We start from the raw sequence: 23,557 nt of genomic DNA, 5'->3' as shown, positions 1-23,557 counted from the left end.
GTTCATTGCAGCACTATTTACAACAGCAAAGACGTGGAATCTACCCAAATGCCCATCAATGATAACTGGATAAAGAAAATGTGGTACATATACACCATGGAATACTATGCAGCCACAAAAAGGAACAAGATCATGTCCATTGCAGAGACATGGATGAATCTGGAAGTCCTTATCTTCAGCCAACTAATGCAGGAACAGAAAACCAAACACTGCGTGTTCTCACTTATAAGTGGGAGCTGAACAATGAGAACACATGGACACAGGGAGGGGAACAACACTTACTGGGGCCTGTCAGGGGAGTCTGGGGGTGAGGTGAGCATTAGAGAAAATGCTGGGCTTAATACCTAGGTGATGGGTTGATAGGTGCAACAAACCACCATGGCACAGGTTTACCTACATAAAAAACCTGCACATCCTGCACATGTACTCCAGAACTTAAAATAAAAAACAATAAAATAACTACAAAAAATCACTATAAACATAAAAAAAAGAATGGAAGGGTTTTTAACATGAAAAAGTATGTACATATAAAGTATAATGTGCTTTATATATATTTAATCATATAATTTAATTATGTATAATTATCATTACACATAATATGATGTAATATATATGCTATATAATATGTAAATATAATATTTATTTATGCATAATGCAAAGGATAATGTGCAGTTTTCTCCTTTAGGTTCTTCATATATAAACATGTATTTATATAACTATAAATATATAGATTTATAAATGCAGCAGTCAATATCATAGTGAAAAGTGATCAATTAGAAATGCCTAATTAACAAAGTAAAAAGACAAATGTACCCATTATTTGACATTATCCCAGAACTTGTGGCTAATGAAGCAAGAGAGCAATCAGAAATAAGGAATCCAAATATTAGGAAGTAGACAAAATTTGTATTATTTGTGGATGATATGGCATATGTATAGAAAATAGGCCCAGGACCAGATTCACAGCCGAATTCTACCAGAGGTACAAGGAGGAGCTGGTACCATTCTTTCTGAAACTATTCCAATCAATAGAAAAAGAGGGAATCCTCCCTAACTCATTTTGTGAGGCCAGCATCATCCTGATACCAAAGCCTGGCAGAGACACAACAAAAAAAGAGAATTTTAGACCAATATCCCTGATGAACATTGATGTGAAAATCCTCAGTAAAATACTGGCAAACCAAATCCAGCAGCACATCAAAAAGCTTATCCACCATAATCAAATGGGCTTCATCCCTGGGATGCAAGGCTGGTTCAACATATGCAAATCAATAAATGTAATCCATCATATAAACAGAGCCAAAAACAAAACCACATGATTATCTCAATAGATGCAGAAAAGGCCTTTGACAAAATTCAACAACTTTCATGCTAAAAACTCTCAATAAATTAGGTATTGATGGGACGTGTCTCAAAATAATAAGAGCTATTTATGACAAACCCACAGCCAATATCATACTGAATGGGCAAAAACTGGAAGCATTCCCTTTGAAAACTGGCACACGACAGGGATGCCCTCTCTCACCACTCCTATTCAACATAGTGTTGGAAGTTCTGGCCAGGGCAGCCAGGCAGGAGAAAGAAATAAAGGGTATTCAATTAGGAAAAGATTAAGTCAAATTGTCCCTGTTTGCAGATGACATGATTGTATATTTAGAAAACCCCATTGTCTCAGCCCAAAATCTCCTTAAGCTGATAAGCAACTTCAGCAAAGTCTCAGGATACAAAACCAATGTGCAAAAATCACAAGCATTCCTATACACCAATAACAGACAAACAGGGAGCCAGATCATGAGTGAACTCCCATTCACAATTGCTTCAAAGGGAATAAAATACCTAGGAATCCAACTTACAAGGGATGTGAAGGACCTCTTCAAGGAAACTACAAACTGCTCAACGAAATAAAAGAGGACACAAACAAATTGAAGAACATTCCATGCTCATGGATAGGAAGAATCAATATCTTGAAAGTGGCCATACTGCCCAAGGTAATTTATAGATTCAATGCCATCCCCATCAAGCTACCAATGACTTTCTTCACAGAATTGGAAAAAACTACTTTAAAGTTCATATGGAACCAAAAAAGAGCCTGCATAGCCAAGACAATCCTAAGCAAAAAGAACAAAGCTGGAGGCATCATGCTACCTGACTTCAAACTATACTACAAGGCTACAGTAACCAAAACGGCATGGTACTGGTACCAAAACAGAGACACAGACCAATGGAACAGAACAGAGCCTTCAGAAATAATACCACACATCTACAAACATCTGATCTTTGACAAACCTGAGAAAAACAAGCAATGGGGAAAGGATTCCCTATTTAATAAATGGTGCTGGGAAAACTGGCTAGCCATATGTAGAAAGCTGAAACTGGATCCCTTCCTTACACCTTATACAAAAATTAATTCAAGATGGATTAAAGACTTAAATGTTAGACCTAAAACCATAAAAACCCTGGAAGAAAACCTAGGCAATACCATTCAGGACATAAGCATGGGCAAGGACTTCATGTCTAAAACACCAAAAGCAATGGCAACAAAAGACAAAATTGACAAATGGGATCTAATTAAACTAAAGAGCTTCTGCACAGCAAAAGAAACTACCATCAGAGTGAACAGGCAACCTACAAAATGGGAGAAAATTTTTGCAATCTACCCATCTGACAAAGGACTAATATCCAGAAATCTACAAAGAACTTAAACAAATTTACAAGAAAAAAATCAAACAACCCCATCAAAAAATGGGTGAAGGATATGAACAGACACTTCTCAAAAGAAGATATTCATGCAGCCAAAAGACACATGAAAAAATGCTCATCATCACTGGCCATCAGAGAAATGCAAATCAAAACCACAATAAGATACCATCTCACACCAGTTAGAATGGCAATCATTAAAAAGTCAGGAAACAACAGGTGCTGGAGAGGATGTGGAGAAATAGGAACACTATTACACTGTTGGTGGGACTGTAAACTAGTTCAACCATTGTGGAAGACAGTGTGGCAATTCCTCAAGGATCTAGAACTAGAAATACCATTTGACCCAGCCATCCCATTACTGGGTATATACCCAAAGGATTATCAATCATGCTGCTATAAAGACACATGCACACGTATGTTTATTGTGGCAGTATTCACACTAGCAAAGACTTGGAACCAACCCAAATGTCCATCAATGATAGACTAGATTAAGAAAATGTGGCACATATACACCATGGAATACTATTCAGCCGTAAAAAAGGATGAGTTCCTGTCCTTTGTAGGGACATGGATGAAGCTGGAAACCATCATTCTCGGCAAACTATCGCAAGGACAGAAAACCAAACACTGCATGTTCTCACTCATAGGTGGGAATTGAACAGTGAGAACACTTGGACACGGGAAGGGGAACATCACACACTGAGGTCTGTCGTGGGGTGGGGGATGGGGAAGGGATAGCATTAGGAGATATACCTAATTAAATGATGAGTTAATGGGTGCAGCACACCATCATGGCACATGTATACATATGTAACAAACCTGCACATTGTGCACGTGTACCCTAGAACTTAAAGTATAATAATAATTACAAAAAAAGAAAATAGGATAACATTAGGTGCAAAAACTATTCAAACCAATAAGAGATTTTAGCAAATTGGACAGACATGAGGAACTTTCTTAAATATTAACAAATAAATAGCTGGAAAAATATTTTTAGAAGATCTGATTGACAGGGCCAACATAAGAAAAAATGAAAACTATTATAGTAAATATATGAAAACAAAACAAGAACACTTCAGACCTTTGCTACTGGACAGAAGAGAAATGCTTAAGTAAATGGACAAGCCAGATTAGGGCAGTGCCCCTCACCAGGCAGAGGGAGTACGATGGAAGACAGAAATCAGATATCTGTTCCCCAGAATCTGATTTGCTATAAGGAGAAGCTGGAAGTCTCAGCCTTGATCTTCTACCTCCTCCTATACTGGGAAACACAGTCTGGCCTGTGGAAGCTTGGGCCTTAGGGCTGGAACTCCAACCACTAAGAAGTTTCTCAACTATGCAGTCTTCCTGAGTTTATGCAGGAGGGAAGAGAAAGCCCAGTTTAGGACTCACGCTCTATGCCACATTCTCTAGTCTATCTGTTATTACTGCAGTGTTGCAATTGTTGCTTTGCCATTTAATAAAGTGAGCAGTTGTTTTTCATGTAGGGAAAATGTGGTACTCAATTCTTAGGTTCAAACATCTATGACTACCCTCCCAAACCCATAACTACATTTTTTTTTTTTGAGTTCACTTCTTCTTAAAAGACAAAATGAAGGTAACGATCTATAGAAAAATAGCCCAGGTCTGACGTCAAAAGGGGCAAAAAAAGTTTGTTGCCTATTTTGTAACTCTTGAGCAGATTTTTCCCTTTTTAAAACTCTGTTTTTTTTTAAATCTAGAATGTATTCAAGTATTAATTTTTTAACCAATGTTTATATTAACTTGCTATGTGCTAAGTACTATGTTAAGTGTGTGGATAAAATGAAGACTATATATGTGTATGTATATATGTATTTGTGTTGTCTTGTATGTATGCACACACATGTATATCCCAATTAAGAAAAGTACTTATATAAGGAAAAAAGACAGTAAAAGAACACATGACAATTCTGGGAGGTAGTATTACAGGTGATTTTAAGATTTTTTTTTCAAATGCTTATAAAGAGCATGGATTATTATTTATTATCTAGAAAAATATTTTGGGGAATTTTTTAAAGCTATAGAGATTTGAATTGCTGAATTGCAATCTCTATTGTTCGCTTCATGCATGAATTCCACATTAAATGGGAACTCGATTTGTAAAAACCACTGTCAGAACATGATTTAACACTACTGCCAGCTGGTGGTGGGTTACTATAATTGCAGGTTTAGTTATTTTATGCCATGACTAGCTTCTAGGTAAATTTGATTCCTGAATTCTTCTCTTCCGTGACATGTCATGGTCAGAGGCACATGTCATCCTATTAGATATCTTATTTATTTAATGGAGGAGAGCTGTGTTTGAGCTCTGATGAGCAGCCTGGTCTTCAAAATACCCAATCATCCACTCGTAATGGGGTTTCCCTAAAAAGATGCATTAAAAATGGTTTGGAGACAGGGAAACACATTATAAAATTAACAGACTAGCCCTGGCAAGAAATAACAAGCCCTGGCAAGAATAGAGCCTTGCCTAAATTAACCAATGATCTTTCTTTCCCTTGCCTCTGGATAGTTCTCCAAAGCAAGGTAATTTGTTTCTTTCCATCCTGGGTCCTTTATAGGCTAGGGTCTAAATATTGACCTCTCAGTTTTCTATACATATTACCATTTTTGCACCCAGCTGATCTCTGGATGATTAAATTTTTCCAAGAATATCTTCATTAAGCCTCTCTTATGTAAAAAATAAAATCTCTAGAGATGATTTTTGATTCTTAAGCCTCATAAAGCCAAAACCAAACAAAATCAATACCAACTCCTCTCAGACTACATATTGTAATTTTTCCACCCTGGATGAAATTGGTGTTCCTAACAAAATTTCCTTAAATAGTTTGATCATTCCTGCACCCTTCCTCTTTCCCATCACCCCCATCACCAAGTTCCAGTTCAGGGATGCCTAGTCCATGTTTTAGAATTCTAACTTACCTTTGAAAATTTCACCAGAAGGAAAGAATTTAATGTTTCCAATTAATCAATAACATAGACTGAAGATGAAGATGGGGGATCACTAAATAAACAAGTGAGGAAAAAGTAAACACAAACACTGAGTTTTCCCAAAGCTAGGTGCATGTTTTCTTATATGTTTACACACCAAATATTGGAATGCAGAGCATGATCTGTATGTGATTAATATGTATGTTTTGATCATGCAATGCCTTCCAATATCAGAAAGGTTAACACGTGAGAAATTAGTCTGTAGTATTTCCCCAACATGAATGTTTACAAATATTATTACATCTATGATAGTTTTACAATCAATGGCATCCTGGAATGAAGAAAATGGAGTATCCTTCCTTCATGATCAGCCCTGTCTTGATGATGAATGTGAACAATTGAATGTTTGGCAGAGCATTTTGAGCACTTCAGTAATGCAGAATGACCACTCTGCTTTGGATCGTTTGCAAAATTCAGCCACAAAGCAAAGCCATGTCTGGAGCCAATGGGAGGTCTATATTTACATTTTAGGACGAGACTTGCTTCCTTTAAGCCTTAAAATACTGCTGAAGATTGAGAGAAAAGAGGAACACTTCTAACTGGAAGGGGTTTGTTTTGCTTTTCTCATTTAAAAAGACAAATTTAGTTAAAATTTTAAAATAATCTAACAAGATAAAGATGAAGTTTCCTATAACTACAAACACAAATTAAAATAAAATTCTGGGTTTTTGCTAGAGATGAGATTGGGTGTGGACAAGATGGGATTTTTAAGGAGACTTTTGTGTGTAATCTATTATTACTTTTGTCTTTGAAATGAATACATTGAAGAAGTCATTAACAATTAGCTACTGCCAAAAAGAATTGTTGTATTGGCTCTTGTGCAGGCTGACATGCTTCTCATTCACTAAAGGGGGAGCGGGATGGAGAACGCCGAGCTCTCCACAGAAGTTGGAGGTGTTTGGAAAGTTCCTCCAGAACACCAGCTGCCTACATGACAGTCACATTCAGTAGGAGAACACGGGCACATGTGCTATGCTTCAGGATAGATATTCTCCTGGATTTGAACTGTAATGAGATTAATGCAGAAAAACAGCAAGACAGGAAATATATGTTGATTTTGATACTAACTGTGGCAGTTAAACCACAATTATCTTTGCACAATAGTGTTCAGTGCTTATGTAGTTAAATAAGTGGAATTTTTAAATACATGGATTTTCTTCCCATTTTAAAAAGGAGCATGTCAGGAAGTATTACAATCTATGACAGAAAGGACAAAATGAGGAAGGTGACGTTTAGCTGAAAATAGGAAACTGATTCTAAGAACTGCCAACTTGAAACCCAAATCCTGATTCCCTCCACTAGATAATGACGCAAGGAGTTCCTCTGTATTCACAGCAGCTCAGATAACTTAGCTGTTTTGTAAGAATCCCCAGGAGTTGGAAACCTTAGTTCCAAACAGAAAATATTTGGTACTTACCACCCACTTAAGCAAATAATGAGAATCGCTGCCCCTCCCTCAGTTTCCGAGTAACTCAGAGCTCCCTCTACCAAGGACACCGGGGACATGGAACCTAGCAGCCAAGTGCTCGCTTTGCTTAGATCTGAAGACCTAGTTCTGGGAATTTTTGCTTGTAAATATAGAAGACAGTATGGTACAGTGGAAAGAGCGCTGATTGTGGAATCACAGACTTTGCTAGGAGCTTTGTGTCTGCCATTTATGTATTGTCCTTGGACCAGTAAGTCCCTTGCTTTCTGGAAGTGTGGCAAGGGGACCAGTATTAGCTGTATAGCTCCTAAGATTGTTATAAGAATCAAAATAAGACAATGATAGAAAAAGTGCTATGGGCATTATGACATTCCTGACATTATCATTATTATTAAGGAATTTGAGTTTAGAGTTTATTTAGAGTACTCTAATTTTTAAACTATGAATATCCTCTTTGTATAAAATCAGGCCATTTTCTGGTATTTTCCTAATTCTAATTTTCTGTCAAATCTTCCAATATAGGTGAATGAGAGAACAGATATATTTCAAGCTAACTGGAGTAAACCTATATGTTATCTAACATTACTCTCCTTACCATGTATGCAAATTAGCCATTAGGTTAAACCATATTAAATTGCTAATTATGGAGGTAAAAATAATTCAGTATTGGCTATTGTAAACTTTTCAACCTAATACTACCATTCTCATCATATAAATGAATCAGATGGGATGTACAGAGCTAAGAAGATAAGAGATAAGAAAATCAGCCCAAATTTGATTCTTTCTGAAGTGAAACAGAGGACGGCAGAACAGAAATTTGATCTCAGGGCCCCTCTGCATCTAAAGCCTCTGCACCATATTGACAGCAATTAAAAGTCAGCTTAGTAAATTTTCTCTGTTGCCTGGGATGTAATTTTACTGGGCTTGAGATGAATCAGCACAGCCTGAAACTCTTACCTCCCCACTCATCCTGGGCTTCATTTTGCTTTTATCAGGGATTCCCCACACTTTCCATCACCAGCACTGGGCCACTCCAGTCTGCACCTTTCTGGCTCGGAACACAGCCTGAGGAGCCATCTTCGCTGTATTAGTTCCACAAGTGTCATTCTAATCATCAAGCATCTGCTCATATTTTTGACCTTGATTATATGTCCTTTTCATCTTAAGCACTTTCTTTGAGAATTCAAACCCAAGCTACGTGTTTGAGCATTATCCAAACCTCTGAGCACACTTTCTTTTGAGAGCCTTGGACCTTGGAATGCTACCTCTTTTTTGTTTGTTTTTTTGATTGCTTTGACACTGATGAGACTGTGCCTAGAAATCTGAGTTTTAGAGAGATACTCTTTGTTTGTAAAGGAGTGCATCAGCTTACGTTTTTTGAGAGATTACTATTTGCAGGCACTATGCTAAATGCTTTACACGTGCTCTGTATTTTAATTCTCATAGTAACACTCTGAGATATGTATTGTCATGAACTCACTTGACAGATAAAGAAAATGAATGAAGCACGTGGAAGTGAAGGGTCTTGCTCAAGAGTGTGTGGTTAGGAGGCACTGGTGCTGGGATTCTCATCCAGGCTGTTGGACTTCAGATCCTGAGCTCTGTCACAATATTCTATTGTCTCCTTGGTGTTGGATCCTGAATTATTTCTTCACTTATCTAAATATTTAATGCCAAATATTTATATGTAAATGGGCACACTTGTGATTCAATATCCAGCTTAAACATGATTTTAAATCCAAGTAGCCATAAATATATTCATATTTTGTATCAAGTAAACAAATCTTTTGACAAATAACATCTTTTTACTTTTAAGGAGATGTTTGGGTCCCTGTGGAAGTAGTCCCTAGCTAACGTGAGATGCCTTGATGCATGAGCCAAAGTGACAAGCATCTAAGCCCCTTATTCTAGCGATTTCTGCTGTTTTGTATGGGATTACGGAAAGACATGAGAGGCCATTTCATGCCCTGGAGCATTACTGCTGAGCCCCAGGATGTCACAGGACCCTGACAATAGGTGGTGTAGGATCATGCTCATGCTTAAGTGTTGAGGAAATTCTCTGCTTGTTAATTTATCAAAACAACATTTAGGAAAATCTTGCCTTTTAGCTTCGGGGAAACCCTGACCTTTTTTCTAGATTTTGTTTTGCTTTGTTTTGTGGTGCTTAAACTAATGAAGAATGATGAATGTGCATTACTTGTTTTTCTAAATTATTAACAGTTCCTTGAAGTACAGACAAAATCATGCAGGGAATGTATTTATGGCAGATAGCATGATATAGTGGAATGAATGAGACAGGCAGAAATTGAGGGACTGGCTTACATGTTGGCCCAACTACCTACCAGCTACATAAGAGTGGGAAAGCAAATTAAGCTTTCTGAATCTCAGTTTGTTTTTTCCTTCATTCGTTCATCTTTTAAGTTTCTACTAAGTGTCAGGTGCAGACTTAGGTCCTGAATAAGACACTGTAATGGTGTCTTTTTTCTTCTGTAAAACAGCAATAACACTACTTTGAGTTCAAAAATGTTTGTTATAAAATGCAATTTTCAGGCATGTGTGAGCATCTTCATATTAAGAAGATTAAAGTATGATTCACTTTATGCTTTTAAAAAATTTTACAATTTTAAAAATCATACTTAAAAATTATGGTAACATACACATAACATAAAAGGCAGTGGCTCACGCCTATAATCCTAGCACTTTGGGAGGCTGAGGTGGGTGGATCACCTGAGGTCAGAAGTTCGAGACCAGCCTGGCCAACATGGCAAAACCCTGTCTCTACTAAAAATACAAAAATTAGCCGGGCGTGGAGGTGGGCACCTGTAATTCCAGCTACTAGGGAGGCTGAGGCAGGAGAATCACTTGAACCCAGAAGGCAGAGCGAGCCGAGATCATGCCATTGCACTCCAGCCCGGGCTACAGAGCGAGACTCCATCTCAAAAACAAACAAACAAACAAACAAACAAACAAACAAAAGTACCATTTAAATCATTTTTTAAAAGTCAGTGACATTATTTTATTCAAAATATTTTGCAACCATTGCCATCATCTAGTTTCAGAATTTGTATGATCCCAAGTGAAAATCTGTATCCCATTAATCTCATCCCCAACTCCTAGCAGCCACAAATCTGCTTTTCGTCTCTATGAATTTGTCTATTCTGGATATTTAATATAAATGGAATAATAAAATATGTGACCTTTTGTGTCTTGGTTCATTCACTTAGCATAATGGTTTTGTAGCATGTTGTAATCATGCATCATTTATTTTATAGTTGAATAATATTCCATTGACTGAATACACCGCATTTTATCTATTTACCTGTTGATAGACATTTGGGTTGTTGCCACTATGAACATTTGTGTATATGTTTTTGCTTACACATCTATTTTGAATTCTTATGGGTATACACTTAGGAGTGGAATTGCTAGGTCATATGGTAATTCTATGTTTAAATTGTTGATGAACAGTCAATTATTTTCCACAGCAGCTATACCATTTGACATTCCTGCCAACAGCATGTAAGGGTTCCATTTTCTCCATATCCTCACCCACGCATGTTATTTTCCATTTTTAAAATTTTGATTATTCTAGTGGGTATGAAGTGATATCTCGTTGTTTTGATTTGAATTTACTTAATGACTAATCATGTTGAGCATCTTTTCATGTGCTCGTTGGCCATTTGTATATTGTCTTTGGAAGAATGTCCATTCAAGTCCTTTGCACATTTAAAAATTGGTTTGCTTTTCTTTATTGAGTTTTAAAAGCTTTTTATATATTCTGGGTGTTAGACCCATGTCAGGTGTATGATTTGGAAATATCTTCTTCCATTCTCTGAGTTGTTTTCTCACTCTCTTGATTATGTCTTTTGATGGACAAAGTTTTTTATTTTGACTAACTCCAATGTATCGATTTATTTATGTCACCTGTGCTTTTGGTGTCATGTCTAAGAAACCTTTGCCAAATCCAAGGCCCTGAAGAGCCACTCACATGTTTTCTTCTAAGAGTTTTATTGTTTTAATTCTTACATTTAGGTTGTTGATCCATTTTGAGTTAATATTTGTATATTTTATGAGGTAAGTGTCCAATTTTATTCTTTTATGTATGAATATCCAGTTGTCCCAGCACCATTTATTGAAGAGACTCTTCTTTACCAAATGAATAATGTTGGCACTGCATTGTACAACCAATTGACTATGAATGGTTTTATTTCTGGGATCTCAGTTCTAGTTCATTGATTTATTTGACTATCCTTATGCCAGTATCGCATGCCGGTATCACAGCTTTGAAAATGAAAATTTGGGCTGGGCACGGTGGCTCAGGCCTGTAATCCCAGCACTTGGGGAGGCTGAGGTGGGTGGATTACCTGAGGTCAAGAGTTCGAGACCAGCCTGGCCATCATAGTGAAACCCCATCTCTACTAAAAAATACAAAAAATTAGCTGGGTGTGGTGGCAGGCACCTGTAATCCCAGCTACTTGGGAAGCTGAGGCAGGAGAATAGCTTGAACCTGGGAGGCAGAGGTTGCAGTGAGCTGAGATTGCACCATTGCACTCCAGCCTGGGCAACAAGAGTGAAACTCTGTCTAAAAAAAAAAAAAGAAAAAAAAGAACAACAACAAAAAAAGAAAATGAAAAGTGTGAGCATTTCAACTCTGTTCTTTCTCTTCAGGTTGGTTGGCTATTCAAGGTCCCTTGTAATTTCATGTGGGTTTCAGGATTGACTGTTCATTTTCTACAAAAAAGATTGATGAAATTTTGATAGGGATTGAGTCTATAGATCATCTTGGGGAGTATTTTCATTTTAATGGTATTAAATCTCTCAATCCATGAACATAGTATGTCTTCCTATTTATTGATGTCTCTTTTTTTAAATTAAGGTTTTGTGATTTTTCAGCATGGAAATATTGGTTCTTCTTTGTTAACTTTATTTCTATGTATTTTATTCTTTTGAATGGTATTGTAAATGAAATTTTTAAAACAACGTTCAAATTGTTTATTGCTCATGTATAGATTTGCAACTGATTTTTGCATATTGGTGTCATATCCTACAACCTTGCTGAACACATTTATTAATTCTATTTTTTTAGTGTGCTCTGTAGCATATTCTATATATAAGATCATGTCATCTGGAAATAAATATAGTTCTACTTCTTCTTTTCCAGTCGAAAAGCCTTTTATTTCCTTTGCCTGACTAATTTCTCTGGCTGGAACTTCCAGTACAATGTGGAATAGAAGCAGTGAGAATGAATATCTTTGTCTTATTCCTGATCTTAGGGGAAAACAATAAGTCATTTTCTATTAAATTAGCTGTGGATGTTTCATAGATGTCTTTTATTAGGCTCAGGAAATTTCCATTTTTTTCATAGCTTTTTGAGTGTTTTTATCATGAAGGGGGTTAGATTTTTGTCAAATGTCTTTTCTGCATTAATTTAGAGGATCATATGGTTTTATCATTTATTCTGTTGATATGTTATTTTACATTAATTAATTTTCAGATATTAAACCAACCTTGAATTCCTGGAATAAGTTCCACTTGGTATGCATACACATGGTATACAGTTTGTGTTATATGTTACTGGATTTGGCTTGCTAGTATTTTGTTGAAGGTTTTTATATCTATATTAATATGATATATTGATTTGTTTTCTTGTGATATCTTTGGTATCAATAGGAAGTTAAGAATTTATAAGCGGCAAGGAGTAGGGGCAGATTGGAAGTATTCCAAGTCTCCTAACTAACTAGGGAAAATGTTTCAAGTCACACAACAGTGCAAAAAGAGCAAGAAAGAGTATACTATGTTTTCTGTTTATCTTTGACACTTACATTTAGGGCTTCCTTAATCTATTTTATCCCATTTGTGAGCTTACTTATTGAATTGGCTAAAGAGACAGGAACAAAGCTTTATAGCCATGAGAGAACTGCTGTAATCTTGGTATCATGGATGGAATGTGCCTTTGAATAGACTTGATTTCTCTTACCTCTTTGTTTCTCTATATTTAAGGGATGAGCTATGAAAAGCCTATTAAAAATAACATGAGCCAGTCTCATTATGCTTGGCTGAACTTAGATTCCAGTAAATGTTTGTGGATTCCTTTTCTAATCACTACATTAACTGGAATTAATAACTGAGAAACAAAATACTACTACTCCCAATTTTTTTTAAGTTGTGAGTGTATGGCATTATTCATTTCATCTCCTCCCAGCAACTTGTGTTTATGCACACACACACACACACACACTCCCCTGCCCCATGCAGGTATGAATATGTGTGTATATGCATCTCTGTGCTTATATGATTAAACATGACTCTACTTTTGAACATTCAGTGAAAATTAAGAAATAATTCATACAGATGATATAGGATGGCTTAAGCCTAAAGCTATCATTCTGGGTTAAAAGTAAAATAGTACATGCAAATGAATTTCCTATCATAAGTTTCTTATTTCCAATTTTCACAGCAGCTCTGACATAGGTTTGAGGGCTGACATTTCATCCTTGGCTGTGCAAAGTTCCCAGATCATGACGGTTTGTTGCTGGGAGTCCAGAGCAGAACTGGAGGAAAGGTGCTTCCACTGCTTCTTCCCAGAGAGGGAGGGGCTGGGAGCTCCTTGCCACAGGCTGACCTCTGTCCCCTCCCTTGTTGAGCTGGTGGTTGCCCAGTCCCTGCAAGTGTTACCTCATTTCCTCTATTTGGAGGTCCTCCTCTACCTCTTCCCTAATTCATCTCCATGACGTGTCTCAAACTTTTTTGCATGAAGTTGTCACTAATTCACTTCACTCACTCGGATCACTCCTTTGGGCTCCTCTATCTTGAGATAGGTCAGATGCCATTTACAGAAGAAACTCCATCTCCAGCCACGTAATGAAGTAAAGAGATAGTCATAGGTGGTGCTTAGTCTCCCCACTGGGGTAAGAAAATGGAGGCTGGAGGAACCCACAGGGCAAGGATGCTGTCAGGGCAGGGGAGGCTGGGCACAAGTGTCCAAGAGCACAACAATCTCAATCTTGTTCAGGGAAAGTTGTCAGCTGTGGGAGTGGAAGTGGGGTAGGCAGGTGGTGATGGGATCCCAGTGGTAGATGGAGTGTAGACCCTGAGCATATTGGCTAAATGATGCCAAGCAGTATGGAACCACTTAAAAAAATGGTTCTTGGAGCCTTGCCACCTGGTAGGGTGTTCAGAAGCTGGACTTCAATATTGAAAGCAAGGCATTTGGAGGACTAAATGGAGACAGAAAAGGGCACTTAAAGTCCTTTCCATAGACTAGGGCATGCACAGGACAGGGAGAGTTGGTAATTGAGGCACAGAACAGGAGCTCCCTGGTTAGCCACGTAATAAGAGTGATGATATTAGGTTCTGCCTGTTGAATAGAGAGAAGGGGATGGTTGCAAAAGTTTAAGTAATTGCAACCTCAGTCAAAACAGATTCAGGAACTAACTGTGGGAGAGGCAGTGAGCATGTGGGTATGGGTGATCCCTTAACTGAATTGTAAGAAAGTAGTGGGAGAGATCCAGGGTGAGGAGGTTACAGTGCCATGCCAGGAAAGGAGACCTGCTGATTGGGCCACTCGGTAGTTAGGTGAGTAAGCCAGGTCAAGGGCTTACAATTTTTCAGAATAGAGAGGATCAATTTTGTAAGGGCATCTTGAAGTGATCACATTCTCAGAAACAAGCCCATGGTAGTCAAACTCACATGATGCCAAATTATAATCCAAAAATAATCCTTTTGTGAATTTACCATAAGAATCATTTCTTTCTATTGATATTGACATATGTGACCCAGGGTACCACTTCCAAATCAGTAACTATTAGGATATGATTGGAGCACAGGATGGTGAAAACTCCCAGAACACTTCTAGGTACTATTCAGGTCTCTTTAATGCCAGTGTGGGCCCAGTCCCAAATTTGACAAGCATCACTCATGGCTTTCTTCTCCTCCCTTTTCTAATTCAGATTCTTTCTACCACCACCCTCTCCTCAGGTCTGTCTCTATCATTGATGGCACTACTCTTTCTTCATTTGATTTATGTGTGGTCTTATTCTCTCTTGCTTTGATTTAGGAGATACTGCTTTTCTAAAGACCACCACAGAATGCCACTTTCTGCATTGCTTGAAAATTCTGGTAACTGAACTTAGAAGCTCATCTTAGGTGTAAGAACAAACTCTTTTAACTTCTCTCTGTGGGCCAAACAGGCAAAATGAGACAGCCTGTGTCCTTCCAACATTTTAGATCCTTAGTCATTCTGATGAATGAGTGGATGGAGAGATGGACGAAGAGCTCACAAACTCAGAAACAACCAGAGGTGTAACATCTACTAGTCTTTTTGTCTTTCATGAAATCTCACCTTCTCATTATTTTCCTTATCTGTTTGATTATCACAATTGAGCACTTATTCCTAAGCACTATTGCTTATTATGCCTCTTAGGGTTTCTACTCCAGAGACACACAGCCTCTTCCTGACCTGGGAATGTACCACCACTTGGTGCTGAATTGTGACCCCAAAGTGCTCAAGGACCCTCCCCAGGAAGGCAGAACACATGCTTAAACCTGGGACTCTTGAGAAAATGCACATTCTGATTCTGTACATCTGAAGTGGGGCACGAGGATCTGATTTCTACCAAGTTTCCAGGTGGCACAGGTGCCACTTGTTCCTGGACCTTGAGTAACAAGGCCCAAGTGGTAAAATCAAGGGCTTGGAGCTTAACTCTCCTGAGTTGGAATCCCATTTTCCTCCATTATCAGCTTCATGACCTTAGACAAATTCTTCAACTTCTCTGAGCCTCAGTTTTGTTTCTGAGCATGGGGTTGCCACTTGGTTGCCAGGTTCTTGTGAGGATGGAGGTCACGTATGTTCAGTGCCTCTGCCAGTGTGTGCCACCTACAGCCCTCACAAGGCCCTTCCCTTCAAGCCCCATCTGAGTCCCTCCTCCACCCAACGTCTGGCTTCTCTATCTGGAGGATCCTGGAAGGACAAGATACAGCTGTTCCCAGGGCCTTTTCTAAGGCATGCAGTCTGCTCTGGGGCCAAGTAGCCCTGTGGTGTGGTTGCAGCCCCTGTTTCCACCAGGAGTCACCCTTCCTCTGGACTGCAGCTCCCAACCCCTGGGATCTTCCTGAGCTTTGGAGTTATGGGCATATCTGGCTTAGACTCTCATCTTCTACTGGCACTGTGGAAAGGTGCTCATTTTTTTTTTTTTTGAGACGAAGTTTCGCTCTTGTTGCCCAGGCTGGAGTGCAATGGCACGATCTCAGCTCACCTCAACCTCTACCTCCTGGGTTCAAGCGATTATCCTGTCTCAACCTCCTGAATAGCTGGAATTACAGGCATGCACCACCACGCCCTGCTAATTTGGTATTTTTAGTAGAGATGGGGTTTCTCCATGTTGGTCAGGCTGCTCTCGAACTCCTGACCTCAGGTGATCCACCTGCCTCGGCCTCTCAAAGTGCTGGGATTACAGGCGCTAGCCACTGCACCTGGCAGGTGCTCACCTTTATGTCATCAGCCAGGGAGAGCAGGTAAGTCAGTACCTTTCCCCCACCTCAGCACGGCTGCTAGCTGGAGAGGATGAAGAAGCCTTACTTCTAAATAAAATGAGGTTTATATTTGTTTGGGGAGCACGTTTCTCTCTTGTGGTGATCTGTCCCTCAGAAATTGGTTACTGGCCTGCATTTTCCCAAAGGCCTGGTAGCCTGATTTCAACCTGAGAAGTGGTTCCTCTTTGGCATTTAAAGACCACTTCAGTTTCCGTTGCCATGTGAGATGTGCAATCCCAGATTGCTGAGCAGGGCTTTGGCCACAGGCTTCCTGCCTGCAAAGGAGAGCCTGGCTTTTTACTTGAAAGACAGCAGGAGGCTCTTGTGTAGAGAGCAAGGGGAAATCATTAAGTTGTCCATGATTACCAAAGGATATGTAAGAAATATGTTCTCTAAAGTGGAAATTGCTACCCTTGGGTAACAGGAAAAGGCTGACCATTACATTATAAGTAGGAAATGGGAGATAATGAAATCGATGCCAAGCACACAGTGCAACCTCGATAAGGGAGTTTGCATCACAGCCCTCCCAATTCATTTTCACAGATGGTTCTTCTCTCGGGCATTTAAACTTTGTCTCTAATATTAATCAGTGAAATGAAAAAAGAGATTTGCCCAGTTGTGGTTATTGTTATTGGAGACTAATACCAATAAACTGGTAGTAAAATATCCCCACAATATCCTCTAACATTGGAAACAACCTCAAGGGATGAAAGCTGACTTGTGAATTCCCCCGCCCTCTGAAATGCTGCTGGTTCTAAGGTCTTGTGGAAATCAGAGAGAAGTCATTTCATTTAAGTCTTAATGGACTTGAGCTTTAAACAGTCGGTGTACACAGCCTCAGCATGTCAGGAGAGGCCATAGGTAAAGTCTGTAAAAGAGATTTGGCACACCGAATGATTCACCCAGTATATTAGGTAGACAGTTGTAATGCAGGCTCCTTCCATATATGACTCTATTCACAGAAGGTCTTGATCCTCAGTGATCGTTATTATAGAATTATAATGCCAGCAAGTACCCAGAGACCACCTCCTCATATCACAGGTCCAGGCTGCTCCTTGGCCTAGCAAGACACAGTCCACAAGTTAGGAGCCAAGCTGGGACAAAGACTCCCAACCCCCGTCCCAGAAGGAGTGCCATACAGACCCCCACAGCCCAGCCCTACCCGACCCACCCTCTGCTCTCATGACAGTTGTAATGTGAGGCCACCAAGGTGCCCAGTTCCCCTAGGGGTTGGGGAGGCCTTCACAGTCGGGTCTGTGGGACTGATGACTTCTGGAATCTTGCACCCATGGCCCACCATGCTGCCTGTGCTTGGAAATGGCTGTACTCTAACCTAATATACACACAAGAAAATCAAAGGTATCCTCAAAGCATGATAAAAGAAATGGATGGTGCGAAGCCCCCAGTCAGCAACAAAACCCAAGGGCATGGAGCTCCGGCCCGGACTCCTCAGGACAGGCAGCCATGGAGACCACAGTGCTGGGTTGGGCTGAGGTATCACCAGATCCAGCCCTCATGTCAGAAAAGGGAACGTTTGGGCCCCAGAGGAAATGGCTCGTCCAGCATCACTGGGGACATCAACTGGCTGAGCCAGGCTAAGGACCCAGGGTTTCTGGGTGCTTGGCTGCCACACTCTCCCTATGGCACCTTGAGGGGTACAGAGCACCCTGCTCTGGATCAGGGTAGGGCAACCTCCTGAGCTGCCCAGATGCACTAGTTAAGGCACTCTGGGGCCAATCAGAGTCACCTCCAGGGATCTTATGTAAAACAGCAATGTTTATTATGGGAAGGCACAGGTCTCTCTCTGAACCCACAGGAAGCTTTCAGCTTTTTTGCACTACCTCTGTCTCACACACACACATTTCTGTTGGTGTCTGACTCTTCCTCTACAGACCAGTGTTCTTTGTTCCTCACTGCTTATAGTAGAATATTCCATAAATCCACCCACCCAGGACTCTTTCCATCTCAACTCCACAGGGATGCCGAGTTTGAAGGTGCTGGTCTCTGATGCTCACCTGCGATTGCAGGTGGGGGCTGGCAGGCACACCTGGTCGAAAATTGGACAATGAGAGGCTGTTCCTGAGACTCCAGGAACCTGCACAGAGTTGTAAATGGGCTTTGCAGACATGTCAATAGGTGTCACTACATCTAGGGATCTGTGTCCTTCCCCTACACCCAAGGCAGCCTCACCCAATCCAAGTACTTACCAACCCTATGTTTCTGTCCTCTCCACTCCAATGACAGGCACAGGGTCCTAGAGGAGGGAATGGGGGACTTAGCCGCATGCTCACGCAGCCCTGCCTTTGCAGGCTCCGTCCTCACTCCAGGGTCAAGTGCACCCCTCAGGCGAGATTCGAGGAAGAAGCCTTCCCTGCATTAATGGCCATGATGCTCCCTCTGTCCAGTGTGAGTCTCCAGTGGGCCAGTGTTGGGGATGTGCGTATCAGGGAGGTGAAAGGTCTTCTTTTACAACCTGCATTCTTGCTTCAAAATAACCCAAGCTCCCCCTGGAACATGAGTGTTGAAGTTCATGGTCCCTGATAGCAGCCATGGGGAATAACAAGGCATGTGAATGGGGAGTCTGGGAGGCAGCCCATCTCTTCTGTGTATTGAAAGCCAATTTCCCAACTCTCCTTTCTGGCCCACTGTGCAGTGCTGCCTTTTCACGGGAATTTCTGAACTGTCCCCAACTGGTCTCCTGGCCTCCCAATTCCGTATTCTCTAATCCAGGCTCTGCCATTGGCTCTACTGAACTTTACAAAGGTAACTTTTTCCTTTCCTGTTTTAACCCTGCCAAGGTTCCCCGGGGCCAACAGGCTCAAGTCTAAGTTTGAAGCAGAGCTCTAAAGCCCTGTGCGACCTGGTGCCTTTCCTCTCCAGCCCTCTGCAGACATGCTCCAATCCTGGGACTGCAGGGAGCATGCCAGCCAGTGCAGAGCAAGCTTGGGGGTGTGGTGAGCCCACCTCCAGTGACAGGCGTCCTCTCTGAGGGCTCCCTGGGCCTTTCCCTCAGCAGCTCCAGCATGGGGACCTAGGCGGGGATGTTATGGGTCCTTGATCCTGTTTGATGCCATGACTCTGAGTGGTGAGAGGACATAGATCTATTGCAGTTCTAATTCTGATGGGGTGAATTACCTAGTTTTGGTCACACAGAACTTGGCTGAAGTTTTAGAGATTAAATGGTGCGTCTCTGCATCTCTTTATTACAACTGTTGTTACTTAGGCCCCAGGAAGTGCCAGGGTCCAAAACTGTAAGCAACAGTGTCTGAGGACTGCAAGGTCTGCAGGGACCAAGGAGCTCATAGAACCGGCACTGATTGAATTCTTGTCAATGCCCGACTCTGTGCTAGGTCATTTATAGATTATCTCAGAGGGACAGATGGAAAAACTGGCAAAGATAAGGCGAGTTTAATGACTGCTAATATTCAGAAAAGGACAGGCCTCAAGGGAAAAAGATATCGGGGAGAGAGACCAGCTCAGAAGAGCGCAGCAGAACTCAGGCACACGCCGCACTTGTCTCCACCTCAATCTTTGCTGAAAGATGAATCTCTCCTGGAAAGCATCATGCCACAGTCAATGGGATTCACGTGTCCAGGGCTTGCTGTGAGCAGAGTCCCTGTGCTCTCTGGAAAGCACCACCACACTGCTCTGGGGGCACTCGTGTCCCCAGCTTCTCACCAAGGAGGTGGATGAATGAGGTCTGGATAAATCCCTGGTGCCTCCAGGTCTGGTATGGGAGCAGTTCTGTCAGAGTTCTCAGCCACATCACCCCATCTCTGAGGCTCCCCTTTGTGCTAAGAAGGGTATGGGGACTCCACAGAGTGTAGCAGCAGCTGCTCCTACCCAGGCACCTGGGGGCAGCTGGTTGACCAGAGAGAGCTTCCTTCCAGAGAGAGGCAGTGCCTGAGGCTCCCTGAAAAAACAGTCAAGTGCCTCAGCCCCTTAAGAAAATGCTCCTTCCAGAAACAAGAACTTTCTCTTTTCAACTCAATTTCAGTAGCTGAGCACCTACCAGTCTGTGCTTCATGTCCAACTTCCTCATCTTCCTTGTCCAGCCCGATGCAATCTCCCTTCCCAGGGGCTTATCAGGCCTCACTGGATTTGACAATGAATACTTGGCCTGGCCTCAGTTTCCTGCAGAGGCCAGGAGACCAACAGCTTCTTCCCTTCATGCTGATGAGTTAATTAAAGTAGCTTGTCTTTATTTAGTGGCAGCGATGGGCCAGGCAATGTGATAATTTCATCATTTTATGTACTAAACCTGGTGCTACCCTCTGCTTTACAGATGGGAAAACTGAGGCACATAGGAGGAGGTGATCTGCTGAGATTTTGCCCAAGACGGCTGGGATCCCAGGTTGTGCTTCAAACCTACACTCTTTCAGGTCCTTTCTGGGAAACGGAAGTCAGCTTTTGTGAGGAGATCCATGGATGGGTTGTAGGAGGAGGGAAGAGAGCACGGTAGAGGACACAAGGTGCAGCATGTCCCTGAGTGGCCAGGAGAGGAGCTCAGCCCCTCCCACTGCCCTGGGGTCAGCACCAAGGCCTGGTTTGTGTGAGGGACACAGTGTAGACAAAGAGGACAGGGAAGGTGCAATTGCCGTGGTGTGTGGTGGTGGGTTGTGCTAAATTTGTTGAGACTGAAATGAAGAGGAGTGGGGAGTGAGGAGGCACAAAAATGTGCACATGTGGAAAGACCCAGAATAGCAGAAGGGCCTGTACTCTCCAGCCAGAGAGGTGAAAACCCGTCCCACTGCCTGGAGCAGACCTTGTTGGGAGGAAACGGAGCCAGCTGGTGAAGACCAGGCGCTCTCCAACCCTGGGCAGTTCCTCTCGTGTAGAAGCCAAGGTACGGATGTGGTTTCCAACTCTCTGGAGGCCCCAAAAGATATGTATCCTGGCCTCATGCACGCTTGATTGAGAGATAAGTGCTGGCCTGGAACCAAGGGGAGCAGGGTGCCCAGCACACGTCCCCACTGCTCCCCACTGCCCAGGCTGATGCCCGAGGTCCCCCTGCCATGTACACCCTGCTCCTGCCCTGCCCTTCCCCCAACCCACATCACACTGCTGCCTCAACCTGGCTGGAGCCTCTGCCCAGGCCAAGTACTGTGGCTTATGTCTGTCCCATGACCACGGACAGGGTCCCTCTCGCTCTCCTTCCTACCTATGCCACATATGTTCTCTGTGGATAGAGAAAACACACAGTGTGAGAGCAGAAGTATTGGAAGGATGTGTGCCCCACGTGCCCACCTGCCCGCCTGCCCCATCTCCTGGCCCATCCCCTGTCCTGGCCTGCCTCCCACTCTTTCTGTAGCAGCTGCCCCATCCCCTGCCCTGGCCTGCCTCCCACTCTTTCTCCAGCATCTTCCTGTTGCTTGCTCTTAGTTCTTGTTCCTGTGCCTTGGGTCAGGCCATCCGCTCCCCTCTGCAGTATGCAGGGCTCCCATCTGCCCTACCCACCCTCCCGGCTGGGCTCTGCCTTAAGCCTCAGCTCCAGCCTTGTCTCATGGGCTGCTCAGGGCCAGCCCCACTCTGTCCCCTGCTGGGTACTCTGTCATATACTTCCTCATTTTATTGGCACCATCTCTTTATGCATCTGTTGCTCTTCACTGAATATATGGTAACCTCACAGACCGGGGCCATTTCTCTTTCATCTTTTCATCTCAGCACATCTCACAAGAGCCCTGTACAATAGAAATAGTGGCCCTCACAGGGCTGACCATGTGCTCAGGGTTGGCAGTCCTCTTCCCAACAGGTTCTGGGAAGTGAGTGTCAGCTCCTGAGTGCACCCCTCGGTGGTCTTCGGATTGTCTGCCAACATCCCCTGGTGTACTGTAAGCAGGACTAAGATGAAAGTGCTCTGCCACCTCTAACATGAGCTTCAGCCTACAGGGTATTGTTATCCACACAGGACCTGTGGCAGGATGGCACACGGGCAGGCCTGGGTAGGAGGAGAGAAGAAAAAGGGAAAGAAAAGGGGACTGGGAGGGTATAGGGCAGGCAGGTTCTGCAGGGGCCATAGGATTCTACCTTGGTGACAGCAAGTTGCCTCACTGGCCCGGGTCTCAGCTTCCCTAAGCCTGGGAAGTGACCCTTCCCCCACTGGGGGTGCTAGAAGCATTCGCAGTCAGCAGAGCCCAGAGCACACGTGCTGACACCTGTCTCCCAATGCCAGCGTGGGGACACCTGCTTCCCGATACCAGCGTGGGGACACCTGCTTCCCGATACCAGCGTGTGGACACCTCCTCCTGATGCCAACATATGGACACCTCCTCCCGATGCCAGTGTGAGGGTGCCTCTTCCCAATGCCAGCATGCTGACACCTGCCTCCCGATACCAGCGTGTGGACACCTGCCTCCCGATGCCAGCGTGTGAGCACCTCCTCCCTATTCAAGCATGTAGGTACCTCCTCCCGATGCCAGTGTGAGGGTACCTCCTCCTGATGCCAGAGTGCTGACACCTGCCTCCCAATACCAGCGTATGGACACCTCCTCCTGATGCCAATGTGTGGACACCTCCCGATGCCAGTGTGTGGATACCTGCCTCCCGATGCCAGCGTGTGGATGCCTCCTCCTGATGCCACTGTGTGGACACCTCCTCCTGATGCCAGTGTGTGGGCACCTCCTCCCAAGGCCAGCATGCAGACACCTCCTCCTGACGCCAGTGTGCCAGTGCCTGCCTCCTGAGGCCATCCCTCTTTCCTGCTGCACTGCAGGTGACTCCTGGTTGCACCAAGTTCTGTCTGTGGAAGGGGCTGTCTGGCAGGTAAACATATGGAACCAACTTTGCTGACTGCAGGTCTGCCCTTAAATTTGGCTGAATTCAGCTGAGTCTGTCCTGGAGTGAAGACCTCCTGCCAACTGGAGGGCAGGAAAGGGAATGGCACACACA

General features: G+C 42.6%; 3 annotated features.

Moving 5' to 3' along the window:
• Positions 21,442-21,491: a silencer, noted in NCBI's record as "silent region_18179". NCBI's record gives its function as "represses an Ori minimal core promoter by ATAC-STARR-seq in GM12878 lymphoblastoid cells {active_cell/tissue: GM12878}" and the evidence as "EXISTENCE:reporter gene assay evidence [ECO:0000049][PMID:35858748]".
• Positions 22,430-22,930: an enhancer, noted in NCBI's record as "H3K4me1 hESC enhancer chr7:50251683-50252183 (GRCh37/hg19 assembly coordinates)". NCBI's record gives its function as "activates a minimal SCP1, AML or CMV promoter by ChIP-STARR-seq in naive H9 embryonic stem cells {active_cell/tissue: H9 hESC(naive)}" and the evidence as "EXISTENCE:reporter gene assay evidence [ECO:0000049][PMID:30033119]".
• Positions 22,931-23,431: an enhancer, noted in NCBI's record as "H3K4me1 hESC enhancer chr7:50251182-50251682 (GRCh37/hg19 assembly coordinates)". NCBI's record gives its function as "activates a minimal SCP1, AML or CMV promoter by ChIP-STARR-seq in naive H9 embryonic stem cells {active_cell/tissue: H9 hESC(naive)}" and the evidence as "EXISTENCE:reporter gene assay evidence [ECO:0000049][PMID:30033119]".

This window comes from Homo sapiens, chromosome 7 (assembly GCF_000001405.40).
Source record: "Homo sapiens chromosome 7, GRCh38.p14 Primary Assembly".
Lineage (NCBI taxonomy): Eukaryota > Metazoa > Chordata > Mammalia > Primates > Hominidae > Homo > Homo sapiens.
Note: the sequence above shows the minus strand (reverse complement) of the source record. Positions and strands in the feature narration are given on the sequence as shown.